This window comes from Homo sapiens, chromosome 4 (genome assembly GCF_000001405.40).
Source record: "Homo sapiens chromosome 4, GRCh38.p14 Primary Assembly".
In the NCBI taxonomy this organism is placed as follows: Eukaryota; Metazoa; Chordata; class Mammalia; order Primates; family Hominidae; genus Homo; species Homo sapiens.
Window position 1 is genome coordinate 128,501,954 of NC_000004.12, and position 18,098 is coordinate 128,520,051.

Sequence of the window (18,098 nt, forward strand, 5' to 3'; positions counted from 1 at the left end):
CCCTCGCATTCACCATCCTTCAAGTCCGTGTGTGACCTGATTTTTCCTGGATGCTGGACAAGAGCTCAGGATACAGAAAGCCCTTGCAAAAAGGCAGAGTGTTCACTGAGCTGTTTAACACTTAAGCTGTCCATGGACAGCAAAGCTAAAAGAGTGCGCTGTAACACATGCTCACTGGGACTTCAGGAGTCGCAGACACCCACCCCTAGATTCTATTGTGGGGCCGGAGCCCAAAAGTGCTCACACCAGCTTCTGCACCTGCCCATCTGCATGCTCCCCGTCATGTAAGGGGTTTGAGTGCCAGTAAGCCATCATCCTTTTACTTATTTAACATTTAATATGTATATGGTGTTGGTGCATGATAACATCATGGACCAGATATAATGTTTGTCTCCAAAGAGCTTGTATAGCTATAGGGAAATAAGACTTAGACACTGGGCAGAGGGAGGTAAAACTGACAATGAGTTGTGGGATATTACAGATAGGAAAGAACATAGGTGTGGTGTTTTCATTTTTGTCTGCAGGTTACAAAGCTATGCATAAAGAATAGTAGGAATAGTCTTCTGCTCATTATATTGACAAATGTGATTTTTAAAAAGCCAAGGTAAATTGATGTATTTTTAGAAACATGAAAAATACTTACAAAAATACTTTTAACATTTAAAAAAATATTGCTAGCATAAAGAAAGTGGGAGAGTGGTCCTTCTGGCCAAAAATGCCATTTGACTTCTTGTCATGCAGCCACTGGCTACATTTTTTATACCTTTTCTGACCCTCCAGTTTCCACTTCTGTCACTACATTTTTCCATTTCTAATATCACACTGCATGCTGATTTTTGACTTTTGGAACTGATGGCATTTTCACCCTATAAAAGTGTCATAAAGACACATTAATATTCAAATGATCACTTATTTTGTAAATAGGGAATTTTTGCATATATTAAACCAGTAGCTTTCACTTCACTTCACATAAGTCATGTTTCTTTGTGGTTGTCCATTTTCAAATCTGTGCCACAAGACTATGTACTGGGAAGGAGAAAATGAGAATTACCACAAACAAAAAAAAAAAGTGATAGACTCTGAATCAGAGTTCACTTTCTTGACCTCTCTAGTGAGATAATAGTCTTGAAAGGCAGGCTTCGTGGAAAGAGAAATTTCTTTTCATTGTTTTATTTTTTCCAAATCTATTTTTTAAAACTTTTCTATTTAGAAATAATTTTAGACTCAAAGGAAAGTTGCAGAAATCAGAGTTCCTGCATACCCTTTAACAGCTTCCCCCAGTGTTAACATTTTACATTACCATAGTAAGAGTATGAAAACCAGGAAATTAACAGTGACATAAAACTGTCACCTTATCTATGAATCTTTATCCAGTTTCACCAGATTTCCTATTAAAGTGTTTTTCTTGTCAAGGATCCAATCCAGGCTCCCACATTGCATTTGGTTGTATTGTCTCCTTGGTTTTGTCCAATATTAGACCCACCTTGAGTCTTTCCTTTCTTTCTTTTCTTTTTTTTAAATTTCATGGCTAACACACTTAAAGAGAACTGGTCAGTTATTTATAGAATATCCCTTAATTTGGAATGGTCTTTCTTTTAATTATTACATTGAGGTTGTGCCATTTTGGCAAGAATGCCACTGAAGCGATGTGCCCATCTTAGCTCATCATATCAGTGGGCACATGATGTCGATATGCCTTATTACTGGTGATGTTAGCCTGTGTCACTCAATTAAGGTGATGTCTGCCAGGTTTCTCAATTATGAAGCCACTATTTTTCCCTTGACAATCACTGAATATCTTCTGGGGAGATACTTGAAGACTATGCAAATATTTCACTTCTTGCCATATTTTTGCACACTAATTTGAGCAGCCATTGATTGTTCTTGCCTGCAACATTTATTACTGTGCTGTTGCCTAATGGTTATTTTTTATTTTCCCTACTTCTAAATTTATTCATTGGTAATCCATTGTAAGAAGTTGTCCCTTCTCCCTCATTTACTTATTTATTCAATTATTTGTTTACATTAGCATGAACTCATGGGTCATCATTTGATACTATCATAACTTACTTTGTTGCTCAAATTTAACTAGCTCTGGTCTTTGGGAGATCCTTCATGTTGCTTCTCTGTCTTTTCAACATGTCCCCAGATTTTTTTGAGTACATTCTCACTTGGCAACATGAGTTTTCCTGGATTGTCTTTTATTTCCCTTGCCCTAGCTCTGGAATCACCATTTCCCTGGAGTTAATTCTGTAGCCTTGATTTCTTTTATTCAGGAATGGTATTTACAGCTAAGATCTGGGCAGATATGCTATTGCTATAAGGGGTTATTGAAACAGGAAATCTTCCCTGACCCCTTCACAGGACTTGTGAAGGGGGTAATTCATTTACTGAGCCCACAGCTCTCAATCCCTCATGGGATGGGGAGCATGCAGGTGAGTGGGTACAGGGGCTGGCATGAGTGCTTCTGGGCACTGGCAGGAACAGAACTTCGTGTGGCCCTGTAGCAGCATCTGCAGGGGGTACCTGTGACCCATGGAGCCTTAGAAGGTGTGTGTTACAGTTGTGCTCTTTTAGCTTTGCCCTCTGGTGATGGCTTAAGTGTTTAACAGCTCAGTGTGACAGCCCTCTGTATCCTGAGCTCTTGTTTGGTGTCCAGGAAGAAGCAAGTTGCATGAACGAATTGAGGATGCTAAATGCAGGGGATTTTGTTGCCGATGAAAGTGGCTCTCAGTATAATGGAGAGCTGGAAAGGGGATGGAGTGGGAAGGTGGTTTTCCCTGGAGTACAGCCATCCTGGGCCAAACTCTTCTCTGAGATCCCACCATCAAGCCGTCCCTCTGAAATCAAGCTGCTTCTCCTCAACATCAAGCTGCTTTTTCTCTTCTTTCCTTTGCTGTTGCCAGTGGAGCCTGGGGTTTTTATGGGTACACGATAGGGGGTGGAAAAGGCAACATTCAAGAGGGAAAACAGGAATGCATGTTCTCACTTTGGGCTGAGGTTCCAGGCTTGAGGGTGGGGCTTCAACAGGGACCCCACCCTCTTCTACCCACTATTTTCCCTGCCTCCTGTCCATATCAGTATTGTCTCTAGTCCTGCTCAGTCAACAGAAGTAGGATATATATACATCCATCCGTAAGTATACATATTAAAAATTATACATTTATACCTCTGATTCCAACCCAACACCACTGGTTTCATTCTAGCCTTTCTGTTCTTTGTAACTTCTTTTGCTGATAGTGAGGAACTAGCTCATTATATTTACTTAAGTTTTGATCCTAGTATATACACAAACTAGTTTTGGAATAATCAACCTACATTAGCCTAGAATACAGAATTTGGGTTCAATTTTTTTTTGTCATTAGCCTTACAGTATTCATGCAAAATACTCTTTTCCAAAGATATTTAGATTAGTTCTTTCTTCACCACTCTCTTCACTTTGATTATGTTAGTTATTTGTGATATAGTTAGGTTCATTTGTCACTGTTTGTCTTCCATTTGAGGTTCCTATCACATCCTGGTTTATTTTTAATTATTTATCGTGTGTGTGTGTGTGTGTGTGTGTGTGTGAACCATTACCATGGTTCTAAGAATCAGAACTATGAAAAAAAAAGTATTCTCAGAGAAACATTTCTTCCGCATTCGGCCTTGTCCTATTGTTCTTTCCACCCTGTTCTCACTCACCCCCTCTAGGTAACCAATCTCATTAACTTCTGGTTTATCTTTCCTGTGTTTATTTTGCATTTGTACAAATGAGCAGATATGTGTATATTTTCTTTCTCCTTTTATACACAAAGGTTAGCACTATAGATAATCTTTTTTACTTTGCTTTTTTGTAAAAAAATAATAACAGTATATCCTGGAAATCACAGACATTTTCCATATTCTTTTTTACTGCTGCATAGTGCTCCATTGTATGAAGGTAACTTCATTTATCCAACAACTGTCCTCTGTATAATAATTTTGGTTGCTTCCAATTTTTTTGCAATTACAAACAATGCTGCAATGACTAACCTTGGACATATTCGTCTGTGTGTGTGTATGATTGGGGGTGTATCTGCAGGGTAGATTTCTAGAAGTGAGATTGCAGGCCCAAAAGGTAAGTGCATGTGTAGTTTTGTTAGGTTTTGCCAAAATTCCCTCCAGAAAGCTTCTACCAGTTTGCATTGTGTGAAATTATCTATTTCCTTATAGCCTCCTGACAGAATATATCCTCACACTTTTTTATTTTTTCTGATATAAGAAGTACAACATGGTATCACAGTATTGTTTTGATTTTATTTCTGTAATTATAAGTGAATTTGAACGTTCTAACCTTTTAAAAACATTTCTGTTCATGTATTTTGCCGTCTTGCTATGAGGTTTTTGTCCTTTGTCTCATAACACTTTGATATATTTTCTCCCGGTTTGTCCGTTGTCATTTGACTCTATTTACTCTTGGTATGTAATTTAAAAAACATTTTTGTAGTCAAAATTTTTTTTTATTTTATTGCTTCTGGATTTTGAATTATAGTTAGAAAGCCTTTCTCATATCTAGGTTGAAAAGCAATCCCCCCGTGCTTTTTTCTAGGATTTTTATGGTTCCGTCCCTTGTTTTCTATTTAGATTCCTAATCCTCTTGGAGCACATTTTTGTTTATGGTGTAAGTTACAGATCTAATTTTATCTTTTTTCCCCAGTGGATGCCCAATTGTTTGAGCACTATTTATTATTATAAAGTCCATCTTTGAGGCCAGGCACAGTGGCTCACACCTGTAATCTCAGCATTTTGGGAGGCCAGGGTTTGAGGATTGCTTGAGTCCAGGAGTTCAAGACCAGCCTGGGCAGCATGGTGAAACCCCGTCTCTACTAAAAATACAAAAATTAGGTGGGCATCATGGTGCAGGCCTGTAATCCCAGCTACTCAGGAGGTGGAGCCACAAGAATCGCTTGAACCTGGGAGGCAGAGGTTGCAGTGAGCTGAGGTGGTGCCACTGCACTCCAGCCTGGGCGACAGAGTGAAACTCTGTCTCAAAATAAAAAATAAAATAAAATAAAATAAATAAAATAAAGTCCATCTTTGTACCAGTCATTTGAGATCCCACCTTTATCACATATTACATTTCCAGATTAACTTGTGTCTATTTCTAAGCTTTCTATTCTATTCCACTGGTCTATTTGTTTATTCTTGTACTAGCACCACACTTTTAATTATAGAGAATTTATAGTATGTTTTAATTCCTGATATATGACTTATCCCCAAATTGATTTTTCTTTTGAGTGTGTCCTGGCTACTGTTATGTGTTTGTTTTTCTATATGAACTGTAATATTAGCTTGTCTAACTTCATGAAGAAGCTTGTTGGTATTTTCTTTGAGACTGTCCTAAATATATAAATTGATTTAGGGAGAGCTGACATATTTATAATATTGAGTTGCATTATTCAAGAACAGAAGATGTCTTTCCATTTGTTCAAGTCTACCTGTCTATTCTTGATACTTCATGTCTTTCAAAAATGCTTCTTGTCTATTCTTGACTCTTTACTCTTCCATATGCATTAGAATTAACTTGTCAAGTTCTGTTAAAAACTTGTTGATTGAAATTACATTAAATTTATAGATTAACTTGATGATAACTGAGATCTTTATGATTTTAAACTTTCTAATTCATGAATAAATATATATCTTCATTTATTTCACTTTTCTTTTAGTCTTAAATATATTTTTATAATTTTTATAATAATAAAAAATATATTTTTATAATTTTCCTTCATAGAGTCTTGTATATCTATTGCTAGATTATTCCTAGGTCCTTATTTGCATTTGCTTTTTGTTGTTGTTATTGTAAATGGAATCTATTTTAAAATTACATTTTCCTAATTGTGGCTGATGTATAAGAACGTTATTTATATATGCATGTTGATATTTTAATCCATCAGCATTGCTGAACTCACATCATCTATGAATAATTACAGTCCTGTTTCTTTCTTCCCAATCCTTTACTCCTTTTATGCCTTGTCTTATTGTGCTGTTTAATATCCTTTAGAACAAAATTAAATAGAAGTGATTATAATGGGTATTCTTCCTTTGTTCAGAACTTAAACAGGAGTATTTCTGAATTTCATCATGCAGTATAATATTTGCTGTACAGTTTTGGTTGATAACCTTTATTAGTTTAAGAAAGTTCCCTTCTTTTTTTGTTAGCTATCAGTTTAATCATGAAAAGGTTATTGAAGTCTACAAAATATTTGTTCTGCATGTATTGAAATGTGTATATATTTTCTCTCTTTATATAAAATTGTGTTTTTAAATAATTATATTATAGTTGTGAGTTATTAATAATTTTAAATATATTAACATATGTTAATGTAATTAAATACAATGCTGGAATCCATTTGCTAATATTTTATTTAAAGTTTTTTGTCTTTGCTTTGGAATGTGATTGGCCTTTCAGTTTTGTCTGTTTATTAGAATCAAGGTATATCTGCCTCATGAAAGGTATGTGTTTGTTTGTTTTTCCTTTCTATTCTCTGAAAGAGTTTTGGATTATCTATTCCTTTAGTGTATGGTAGAACACTCCTAAAAAACTTTTGGGCTGGTGTTTTTTAATGGGTAGATTTTAATTACTGATTCAGTTTCTTTGGTTGTTCAATAGTTTATTCAGATTTTCTGTTTCTTTTTTGAGTTAGTTTTGGTTCTACATTTGTTTTGAAGAAATTGCCTGTTTTACTTATTTTCTAATTAATTTGTAATATAGTTGTTCAAAGCATTATTTTATGATTGTTAAATATCAACCGTATTTGTAACTATGTCTTCTTTTGTTCACAGCACCTTTTTTTTTTTTTTTGTCTGAGTCCCACTCTGTCGCCCATGCTGGAGTGCAGTGGCGCGATCTCGGCTCACTGCAAACTCCACCTCCTGGGTTCAGGTGATTCTCTCACCTCAGCCTCCTGAGTAGCTGTTCACAGAACCTTTTATTCTTACTCTTTCATTAAAAATCTTGCTAAAAGTTTGTCAATTTTCAATGAAACAAATTTAGGATTGTGATACTTGCTATTGTTTCATTGTCTTTAGTTCATTGATTTTCAGTCATATCTTTATCATTTTCTTCCCTCTATTCAACTTGCCTATCGTGGATACGTTTTTTTTTTTTTTTTTCCCTTCTAATTTCTTGGGTTGTATGTTTGGCTCATTAATTTTCAACTCCTTTATGTCAAAGGCAGGATTTTAAGACAATAAATTTTCCTTTAACTGTAACTATAGCTGCACCTCACACATTTTTACAAATAGTTTCAGTTACAACTCAGTACTAGATATTTTTTAATGTCTGTTATCATTTATTTCCTGTTTAATTAATGATTTACCTAAAAGCATTTTCAAAAACTTATTGCCATAAATGTATTCAGTCTTTTTCCTTTTCTAATAGCTTGAAACTAGAAGTTGAATAAGATCTTGCCCAGAAAAAAAGCATGTTTTTAAATCCCCAAATTTATAGAGTTCTTTTTGCTTTTTAAAAGATTATTGATTTATAACTTAATAGCATTATGGTTGATGACTTGGTTTATATGATATCAGTTCTTTGCTATATGTTGAGATGTGTTTTGTGGCCTAAAATGTGGTCAATTTCTGCAAACGTACAATGTGCACTTAAACAGAACATACATTCTTTTTTTATTAGGTACGGAAATCCATATATGTCAATTTATATAAGTGGTTCCAATCCTTTTAATGACATCTCATATATAGAAAATTCTAATATTTGTACAGCACAGTAGCATAAGTTGGAGTTGATTTGAAAATGTCTTGCAGGGCTTACTAAAATATTTATTGTACCTTTTAAAATTTTATATAATTACAAGGAAAAATACAAAGTATTAGATAAGACATTGTTAAATTTTTATAAGCCTAAATAAAACACTTTCAGAATTTTACTTGAGAAACTTGAGTTTGCTTTCATGAACATAACTATTTTAATCAGATTTTATGTTTGAAATAGCTATAGATCATTCCTGATTAAGATGTTTTAATAATGACCTTTTCTAATCTCCTCAAATTCATGGTGTTGAAAACCCAATGAAAATATTTGTCCAAATAAATTACCAAAATCATGTTACAACATTTTAAAAACAATTCAAACCGTTGATATTATATAGGAAGCATCTAAAGTTCTTCCTTAATTTCACTGAAAAAATGTAATTTGAAATTTCTTGTGACAGGGCATGGTAGCTTTGTAACGTGTCCACTTGGCTAGTTGAACTGTGTCTCCCAGAAGCCCTTTCCCTATGTGTTTTCAGTCAGGATGGGCTTCAGGAGGCATTTTTGCATGAGATTTGGAGGGCAGAAGTGAAGCAGAAGCCATTCTGCTTTGTATGCTGGGAAGGTTGGAGCAAGGGCGTTTTAAGGCTCACACGTGTTGCTTTATCTGTCGGCTCACCTCATTTGCTTAGGGTAGCATCTGGGCTGGAACTGCTGCACCTTCCCTTAAATCTAACTTTGGCTTCTCCAGTTCCTGAGCCAGGTGTGTGTTTATGTGTTTAGCTCTGGGAAAAAGGGCATTAGTGTCTCCTGCAGGACACTCACTTCATCAAGGCTGGAGACAGCAAGAACTGACACTGGTTCCAGGCCATCCTTGTAGGTTACATCTTGACCTTAATCTCTCCTATTTATATGCACCTTGCCTGCTCTTGGGTTTCAAATCCAGCATTAGACGCAAAAATAATAGCGTAATAGAAACTGTTCAACCACAGCAAAGCACGGTGGCTCACGCCTGTAATCTCAGCACTTTGGGAGGCCGAGGTGGGTGTCTCTTGACCGAGGTGGTCAAGAGTTCGAGACCAGCCTGGCTAACATGGCGAAACCCTGTCTCTTTACTAAAAATACAAAAAATTAGCCAGGCGTGGTAGTGGGTGCCAATCGTCTTAACTACTCAGGAGGCTGAGGCAGGATAATCACTTGAACCTGGGAGGCAGAGGTTGCAATGAGCAGAGATTGCACCATTGCACTCTATTTAGCCTGGGCAACAAGAGCAAAACTCTGTCTCGAAAAAAAAAAAAAAAGATTGTTTAATCAGCTCCCACAGTTGCATAAGGTGAAATCCTTGTCTGTCTATCTATCTATCTATCTATCTATCTATCTATCTATCATCTATTAATCATCTGTCTTTTTCTCTATCTAGCTATTTGGATGTCTGGCCATCTTATCCCCATAAAGTTCCGCTTCTCTGTCTGAACTCTGACTTATACACAGGACAAATAAATTTCAAATCCAAATAAAATTTCACATACCAAGTATTTTTAAATTCTAGTGAAGTTTTACTGTGAAAATCTACTGTTAGAACAGTTACCTCTAGCTTGCAGGCCATTCAAGTTCATATTAGTCACAAACAGAAAAAAGCATCAATGGTGGATTAAAGAAAACTGCAAATTCTTTGATATTTTTCCCATTTAGAGGCGGGGTCTACTTTCCCTTTTCTTGAATCTAGGCTGACCTGTGACTGCTTCGGCCAACTGAATAGGGAAGAGTGATGCTGTGCTGTTTCCAGGCCTGTTCTTTAAAAGTACTTGGAAGCTTCTGCCTTGGCCTCTTTGTGCCTGAGTTGCTGTATAAGAATCTGACTACCTTGCTGGAGAGACCTTGTGGAGAAGACTTGACCTTATATGCAGAGGTAGAGGGGCCCTGGTTAGTCCAGCCATCTAGCCATCCTGTCAAAATAGCAGGTATGTGAGAAAAGCTGTCTTGATTCCTCCAGCCCAGCCCAGCCACCAACTGAATAATACCAAGTATATGTACCTCAAATGGAGGAAAAGAACTGCTCAGCTAAGTCCTGCCCAACGTCCTGACTCAGAAGATAATGACAGATAATGAAATGATTGTTGTTTTAAGCCACTGTGTTTTGAGGTAGTTTATTACACAGCAATGGATGACAGAATAGTATTTATATATATATATATATATAAATATATATAAATATATATATTTATATAAATTTATATATATTTATATATATATATGTAAAGACAGGTATTTGGGACCAATGCCTGGATTAGCACTTACCAGGAGTCCCCTTTCCCCATCTCTCCATCCCATGCTGCAGTTTGGGTTGTATTCCTTGCTCCTCAGTCACCTGGAGCATCCATTCCCCTGGAGCTCCATGAGCCCTTTGGACTCAAGAGGGCAGGGGTTTGCCCTGCAGTGCCTGCTGAAGTACATCTCCAGGTAGTAGAGCACCTTGGCCATGCACAGTGCATCTGGCAGAGCAGTGAGGGCTCCATTTTGCTCATTGCACTCAACATCTCCAGGGACTGTGGGGTTCCCTGTCAGACCTTGCTCTTCTCCATCCTCCCTCCAAGGAGCCTTGGATAAGGCTTCTAACAGCCTGGAGGCTCCAGGCAGCCAGGCCCTGCCAGACTGCCCTGAGGGCCAAGGGGATTAATATCTCACAGCACATCTGTAACTGATTCTTGGCATTCCAGGGAGTCTGGCACAACTGTGAGCAGCTCTGAATTAAATCAAGCTTCTTAATTTGTGCAGCTCAATTTTTTTTTTTATTTATTTTTTTGAGAGGGAGTCTTGCTCTGTCGCCCAGGCTGGAGTGCAGTAGCGCGATCTCGGCTCATTGCAAGCTCCGCCTCCTGGGTTCACGCCATTCTTCTGCCTCAGCTTCCCGAGTAGCTGGGACTACAGGCGTCCACCACCACGCCCGGCTAATTTTTTGTATTTTTAGGGAGACGGAGTTTCACCATGGTCTCGATCTCCTGACCCTGTGATCCGCCCGCCTTGGCCTCCCAAAGTGCTGGGATTACAGGCGTGGGCCACCGGCGCCCGGCTGGCTCAAATTTTTAAAATTCTTACTAATTTTTTATTTGCTAGATCACCCCCTTTCTATCTTGTCCTTTATTATCCATTTAATCCTATCCTTTTTTTGAAACCCTAACAGTCATTATTGTTGTGCTAATCAGCTGCCTTTGCTTTCAGATCCATTTCCTGCCCTTCTTTTATTCTACTCTGTATTACAGCCAACCACATTTCCAGGCTCCCTTGTCCTCTGCTATCTAGGTGAGTTTTGTCAGTGGAAGACATTGGTGGAAGGTTGGATGCTTCTTCTTCTAGCATCTCTGGTGGTGGCTGTGTTTCCTCCCTGACTCCAGCTCCCACTGGGTGTCATTCACTTTGTGGTTTTGGTGCTTGCCCAATGGCCTGGCTTCTGAGCCCTGCTTCTGCAGCCCAGGGAGAGTAGCAGCAGTCTGCTGTTTTTAGTGTCTGGGTTGCCACTCTTTTCCTGTTTGACCTCTCTGGGCTTCCATGACCCACATAAGTCATTAAATTCCCTCTGTCAAAAAGACTTAGGTTCCTGTTTCATGACTGGATGCTGACTGATATTGTTATTACCATTGTAACTATTATCGTTGTTATTGTTTTTATTATTTTATACTGCCAATGCCTGTTTAAATTTACCCATGTGTTTTCAAATTACTTTGATCACCTTGCATTTTGCATTCCACTTCTATACTTTTGGTTAAAGTTTTCTTCTTTTTGCAACATATCCCTAGCATTTATTTCTATAAAGGTCTGTGTTTTAGATAACTTACAGATTCAAAATTTTAAAATATGGCTTTTTGTCATTTACTTAAGATCTGTATGCAAGAAGAAATGAAAAAGATGAACAGGTAGAGTCCAGGACTACCTACCACAGCTCAGGTCAACATTAATTTTATGATTTAATTAATTCCATAAATTCTCTTTTCTGTATGAATATAAGGTTCCTCCCTCCCTGTACTCACACATCTACCTCTTCTAGGAGTTGCCTTGGGATCCACAAAGAAATTGAGGTGGTCCAGTACTCATAAGCCAACAAACTTCAAAGGAGAGTCAAATGTACATTTTCAAAATAAGAGTACTGAAAAGCATTGAAATAAACACACAAAAAGAGATTCAAATGTACATCTTAAAAGGAGGAGGAGATTCTTTGAAGAAGTAGGGGAATATGACGTTGAAAGTCTCTGAAGAGGTTGTGATAGTTGTTTAAGGGAGTAGAACATTAAAACATTTTTGTCTGTTCAATCTTAATTTTTAAAAATGATAGCATAGAGTTTGGCCAATTATGGAGGGGCTGATTTCATCACTATCAATGAGCAGTAAACTTTCTTGGTCTTTTATTTGGGGAATGTATTTATTTTACTTTCACTTTTGAATGAGACTTAGCTGATGCAATGGACTGAATTGTGTTCCTCCAGAATTTGTATGTTGAAGCTGTAAGGGCAAATGTGACTGTATTTGGAGGCAGGGCCTTTAAAGAGGTAATTAAGGTTAACTAAGGTCATAAAGATGGGGCCTAACCCAATATCACTGTCCTTATAAGAAGAGACACCCGGGATGCATTTGCACAGAGAAAAGGCCCCAGGAAGACACTGCAAGAAGAGGGTGCTCTTCAAGTCAGGGAGAAACCAAACCTACTAACACTTTGATCTTTGACTTCTGGGCTCCGTAACTGTGAAAAATAAGCTTCTGTTGTTTAAGCCACCTAATTTGAGGTATTTTGTTATGGCAGCCCTAGAAAACTAAATACAGCTGGGTATAGAATTCTAGGTTGATGATTTTGCTTTTATAGTATTTTTATAATATTTTGAGATGTGTGTCTTTGAAGTTCTGCAGTTGCATTATATTGTGGCTTGCTTTGGATTTGTTACATTTAAGCTTTATTTATCCTTCCTGGAATTCATTACAGTTTTTGAACTTCAGGATTCAAGTGTTTTAATCATTGATGAAAACATTTCAACCATTATCTCTTCAAGTATTGCCTGTCTTATTTTCCTCTATTTCGCATTCTTGGAATTAAATCTGTTGGTTCTCCTTTTCCGTCTTCCATGTCCCTTAATCTTCCATATTTTCCAGATCTTTATATCTCTGTGCCTATTGAGTAATGTCTAAAATCTGTTTTCCAGTTTATAAATTATCTTGCTATATCAAATCTGCTATTTAACCTACTCATTTAAGTTTTCAATTTCCTTGACATATACCTATGTGAATGGGTGGGTTTTTACTTAGACTACCTTTTCATGTAGAATATGTAGACTACCTTTTCATGTAGAACCTAGCTTCTATGCAAGGTTCTCAATTCCAATTTCCTGTCCACTTGGGCCCAGTGCTTACCTCATGTTTCCACATGAGCGTGAAATCACAAGCCCTTGGGTGAACAGAATCAGTAATCACTGGTCGGGTGCAGTGGCTCATGCCTGTAATCCCAGCACTTTGGGAGGCTGAGGTAGGCGGATCATGAGGTCAGGAGTTTGAGACCAGCTTGGCCAACATGGTGAAATCCTGTCTCTACTAAAAATACAAAAAAAAAAAAAAAGTAAATAAATAAAATTAGCTGAGCATGGTGGCATGCGCCTGTAATCCCAGCTACTTGGGAGGCTGAGGCAAGAGAATTGCTTGAACCCAGCAGGTGGAGATTGCAATGAGCCGAGATCACCCCACTGCACTCCAGCCTGGGTGACAGAGCGAGACTCCATCTCAAAAAAATTAATAAATAATAATAATAGTCACCCTTCCACCTCCATAGCACAGCTACGTCATGAACTGACACCTTAAAACTTTGTTCTGTTTTCAATTATCTCTTGGTTTCTGATGCCTGGGTATTTCTTTTTCTTTCTTGAGAGCTTAAGCATGAATATAAAACATTTCAAATTTTATATTTTATCCAGTATTTCTAGCTTTTTAATAGTGAGATTTATCTTACTCTCCCATTTTATTAAAACAGAAAGTCTTGAGTAACATTTTAATACTGAGAAAAAAAGCCTCATTATTAGTTTTAGAAAAAGAGAGACAATCTGTGTTGTTCTGGAACCAAGACAAAGTTCTAGAAGATTCTCTCTTGATCCTTAAACAGCATAGAAAAACCAGGTAAGTTGACTATGTTCACGTTTAGGAGTATGATGGCCAATGGATCCAAAACCTATCCTATATCTACATGTTGGTGGCCACATTAATCTGACATCTGACAGCAAGAGCGATGATTGGGTTCACTGGAAATCTTTGTGAAGTACGAGTGAAGTCCTTGTGAAGTCAGAGTAAGTATCAGAACTTTGAGTTCTAGTCTTGGCTCTAGACTGATTCAAAAGGTCAGGGCCTAATCAATTTACTCATTAACTTATAATTGTAATTAATTAGATTTTATTAATACAAGAATAAAAGAATTGTCCAGCACCTACTAAGCCAAATCCTAGAGATATGGAGAAGCAGATAAAAGTTGCTGCTTTCAAAGAACACAGTTCACTAATAGGAGACTGGCTTGGAATCATCTATTCTATAAGTGAAATTTTGATGGATTATTGTTGAGGTGCAAAGGATGGAGCAGTCAGTTGAATCTTGCTGGGGGAATTGTAATCAGAAAGCTCCGAGAATAGTAAACGAGAGTTTTGGAGGCCTAAGATCTTGGAATCACATGTGTAGAAGGATATTTAAGGTGTGCAGGCTCCTCCATGAGTAGCCCCAATGCCTTGAGTGGAATGGATGCAAAGGTACGGACTTCTTGCATCCTTCCCAGGATATCAGGAGGCTTAGAGCAATATCTGCAAAATGTTGGCGATTGCTGAAACGCAGCGCTACAGCATCCATGGGGTCTTGCCCTTCTTCAACCATTCAGTAAATAGCACTCAGTAGAGATTCTGGCTGAGGATGCTTGTTTTCAAAACAACAGCCCTGAGCCAACCTTTTTAAGTAGTTCCATATGTTTTTATGGAGAGTTTATGGATTGTGGCCTTCGGAATTCTTTTGTTTATCACTGGGAATTCAAGTCCTGAAAGCTGCTAACTAACCATGAGGTCTGCTGGTTATACAAGCTGTTGGACCTCTTAAGGACGTTGACATAAGGACCACTTTCTGTGAAATAAGAATTAGTGGTTTAAAAAGAGTGCACTTAACAGTATCATGTAAGTATCAGTTTCTGTATGTCATTACTAGCCAGGCTTTTTTTAAAAAACTGGACTGTGCTGCCTTGTGTGTACATTTAAATGAGGCCCTTAAAGGGAAATCTGAGCAATGTCTTCAAACAAAGACTTATAATCAGAAGGGTCTTTTTAAAAAAAAAAAAAAAAAAGAATAACTATCTTCAGCAGACCTAAAACCAGGATGGAAAGGTGGATACTTCCCCACCTGGGCCCCAAAGCAGGGCCCTTCAAAATACTGAAGGTCCAGCATTCCCTGGGCAATTCTTCCTCCTTCTCTGTCCTCCCCACCCCCATCAATACCCAGCTTGCAGTGATATTCTTTTACCCTTTACTAATCTAATGCCAAACACATGTAGGTTCTATCCTGTTTCCAGGAAAGAGGTTTCCATGAATTGCCTCATCAGCCTTACTAATAGCTACAATATATGGAGCACTTTGTGCCCAGCACTCGATTCCTTTTATACTTGATCTCTTTTCATCCTTTCTTCACAATAGCCCCATGAGGTGGGTGCTATAATTATTTCTAATTTTACAGATAAGGAAACCAAAGCTCAGAGAGTCTGAGCAATTTGCTTAAAGTTGCTTAACAGCTGTATTAGCCTACTACTTATAATTCGACTACCTGTGTCCAAGGCTACATAAATTCAGGTCGCCTGACTCAAAGCTCTTATTCAACGTGCTAGCCTCCTTCCCACTAGATCTCATAAGATCTAGCTTGATCTCTAAGGCTCCATTCCAGCTTGGAAGAACTATGGTTCTTCTCCAGTGTCAGTTGTGTTGCTGTTCATGTTGTTTTCATGTAAAACAATGTAAGAAAGAGGCTGATAATCTCCCTCCATGAAACAGTTCTTCACACATTTAAAATCATCCATGGCTGATCATAAATGCTTCTCCAGAGAGTGAATGGTCATGGCTGGTGCAGAAGGGTAACACTCTGGAAAGGCGGATGTGAGACCTGGCAGCTCTGCCTGGGTACACATAGCTTAGGGCTGACAAGTGAGTCAGCAGAAGTGAGCAGACAATACTGCATTGGGTTTTAACGTGATGAGTCAGCCTTGCTATCTGGCCAGCTTCAGTGCAGCCCCCTGAAGTTTTAACAGAATATTAATTGCCCTTTCACTTCCCATTCCACACAGCTGGGTGGGATTGCTACCAGCCACACTGTTGAGAAGTTACACATTTTAGCCCAGCCTAGAAAGGTTTCCTGTGGTGGGTGAAATGACAACATGCACAAAGGTCAAACTCCAGATGTGGGAATCTGACCTTTTCTCCTCTTGGGGAAAACATTGCCTCATTATAATCTCAAAAGATTTTTGGTACAGGTTTAAGGCTAGAGTCTACTGAAAGATCCAAACTCCTCTAACATAGAGGATGCCAGCCTGTTTCATGTAAATTTATCCAAGGCTTTGAGACCACCTACAAAATTCCTGAGCCAAGGGACCAGGGAATGTAGGCGAATGTTTAGGCATTTCTGAAGGAGGGAGCTAGACCTAGAAGTTGCTGCTTGCTCCTAGAAGTTGGAAGGCATTTCAAGATGAGGAATGAGTTGTTTCTGGATTGATGCCTTCACTGGCTAGAAATGCCAGCGGGTGGTGGGAAGAGTACATGGCAGGATGATGAGGAGTTTCGCATTCATTCATTCATTTATTCATCTGTGTATTCATTTTACAAAAATTCATATCAGATTTGCAAAATTCACTCACAATACACTCAGAGATAATAAAAAATGTAACAACTTTTTTTATTAACTGGTGGAATATTTCTCTCAAATTTCCACCACTGGACCCCAGAGTGGGAATTCAATTTTAGCCCAATCTTGTAAACTTAGTTCCAATGTAATTATCTAGGTTGAGCTAAAAGTTTCTTTTCATCTTTCAGGTTTCCTCTTCATGCCTCTACTCCTATGCAGTTTGACCTCTCAGTGTGCAGCTGGTGATAGATGGAAACCCTTGTTCATAAGCTTTGTGGCACTGTCGGCAGGATGAGGGGACTTCTGGATCCTCACTGGTCACTGTGGCAGAGTGGTTGGTGTTGTCTGCTCCCTAGACAGGAACCCACTGAAGAATCTGACATTTTTTGATATGCTGGCATTCATTGTTACAGCCCATCATCCCAGCCATCAATCCAGGACATGGGGTCTGTGCCCACGGTGGGAAGGAGGAGGGGGAAGCTGGCTTTGTTCTGACGTTGGGCTTCTTCTGCTCCACCAGTACTTTCTGTGGGGGAAATAGGTAAAGAAATGGCTGTTCAGATGAGAAGATGTGTCAGTAAACTTTTGCTACAGTGATGCTGCAAAACAAATCACTGGTGACTTTCAGTGGCACACAGCAATAAACATTTATTTAGCTCAGGGATTGACAATCTTTTTTTTTTTTTAAAGGGCCAAATAGTAAATATTTTAGGTGTTTCAGGCCATACAGTCTCTGAACTCTGAACTTGTAGCACAACAGTAGCCTTAGATGCTATGCAAATGGAGGAGCATGACTGTGTTCCAATAAAACTTTATTTATGGACACTAAAATTGGAATTTCATGGAATTTTTATATGTTAAGAAATATTATACTTTGATTTTTTTCAACCACGAAGTTGAATGGTCTGTGAGTTTTTTTCACAAGTCATACAAAAACAGATGGTGGGTCAGACTTGGCCCATGGCCATAGTTGGCTGAACCTTGATTTAGCTCATGAATCTGCTCTGGGTTGGGCTCGGCTGCTCTGCGCTGCACTCATCTGCAGTCGGCTGTGAGTTGGCTAGGCAGCTCTGCTGGTGGTGCCAGGGCTCATTCACATGTATGGGGATTGTTTGCCATTGGCTGGTCCACAGTAGCCTTGGCTGGGATGGCTGCGGCACGTTGGCTCTGCCGTGTGAGTAGCCAAGCAGGTCAGCCTGAGCATGCTCTCTTAGCAGTGGTGGAGACACATGAATCTAAGTGGAAATGTGCAAGCACTTTCAGAAACCTCTGCCTGAATTATGTTTGCCAACATCCCATGAGACAAAATCAGTCACTAGGCTAAAGCCACAGTCAGGTGAGTTGGGGCAGAATGCCCCTCAGATTGAGAGGGCACTGCCAAGGTACATGGCAAAAGTGATGGATGTGCTGGAGCCATTAAGACACTCAACCCACCAAAGGACCTAAATTGGGGATAATTTTTGTTTGTTTGTTTGTTTGAGATA

At 38.5% G+C, this 18,098-nt stretch overlaps 1 long non-coding RNA gene across 1 annotated transcript in view, besides 6 other annotated features; it reads left to right on the forward strand.

The window, feature by feature from the left end:
• LINC02615 (long intergenic non-protein coding RNA 2615) overlaps nucleotides 1-17,445 on the forward strand; it is a 91,383-nt gene extending 73,938 nt beyond the window's left edge. The window contains exons 7-9 of the long non-coding RNA NR_125882.1: nucleotides 9,458-9,692; nucleotides 13,904-14,045; nucleotides 16,803-17,445. This is a non-coding gene — a long non-coding RNA (long intergenic non-protein coding RNA 2615). The remainder of the gene's footprint in view (nucleotides 1-9,457; nucleotides 9,693-13,903; nucleotides 14,046-16,802) is intronic.
• Nucleotides 14,865-14,944: a silencer, noted in NCBI's record as "silent region_15685". NCBI's record gives its function as "represses an Ori minimal core promoter by ATAC-STARR-seq in GM12878 lymphoblastoid cells {active_cell/tissue: GM12878}" and the evidence as "EXISTENCE:reporter gene assay evidence [ECO:0000049][PMID:35858748]".
• Nucleotides 15,854-15,998: an enhancer, noted in NCBI's record as "145 bp enhancer 199 fragment used in the MPRA reporter construct; PK_construct_3518". NCBI's record gives its function as "activates an SV40 promoter by MPRA in HepG2 cells {active_cell/tissue: HepG2}" and the evidence as "EXISTENCE:reporter gene assay evidence [ECO:0000049][PMID:23512712]".
• Nucleotides 15,854-16,674: a biological region, named in NCBI's record as "NFE2L2 motif-containing MPRA enhancer 199".
• Nucleotides 15,913-16,674: an enhancer, noted in NCBI's record as "H3K27ac hESC enhancer chr4:129439021-129439782 (GRCh37/hg19 assembly coordinates)". NCBI's record gives its function as "activates a minimal SCP1, AML or CMV promoter by ChIP-STARR-seq in naive H9 embryonic stem cells {active_cell/tissue: H9 hESC(naive)}" and the evidence as "EXISTENCE:reporter gene assay evidence [ECO:0000049][PMID:30033119]".
• Nucleotides 15,921-15,931: a transcriptional cis regulatory region, noted in NCBI's record as "NFE2L2 motif; enhancer activity is reduced when this motif is scrambled". NCBI's record gives its function as "necessary for full MPRA enhancer 199 activity {active_cell/tissue: HepG2}" and the evidence as "EXISTENCE:site-directed mutagenesis evidence [ECO:0005528][PMID:23512712]".
• Nucleotides 16,217-16,266: an enhancer, noted in NCBI's record as "active region_21889". NCBI's record gives its function as "activates an Ori minimal core promoter by ATAC-STARR-seq in GM12878 lymphoblastoid cells {active_cell/tissue: GM12878}" and the evidence as "EXISTENCE:reporter gene assay evidence [ECO:0000049][PMID:35858748]".
• Nucleotides 17,446-18,098: the final 653 nt, after the last annotated feature.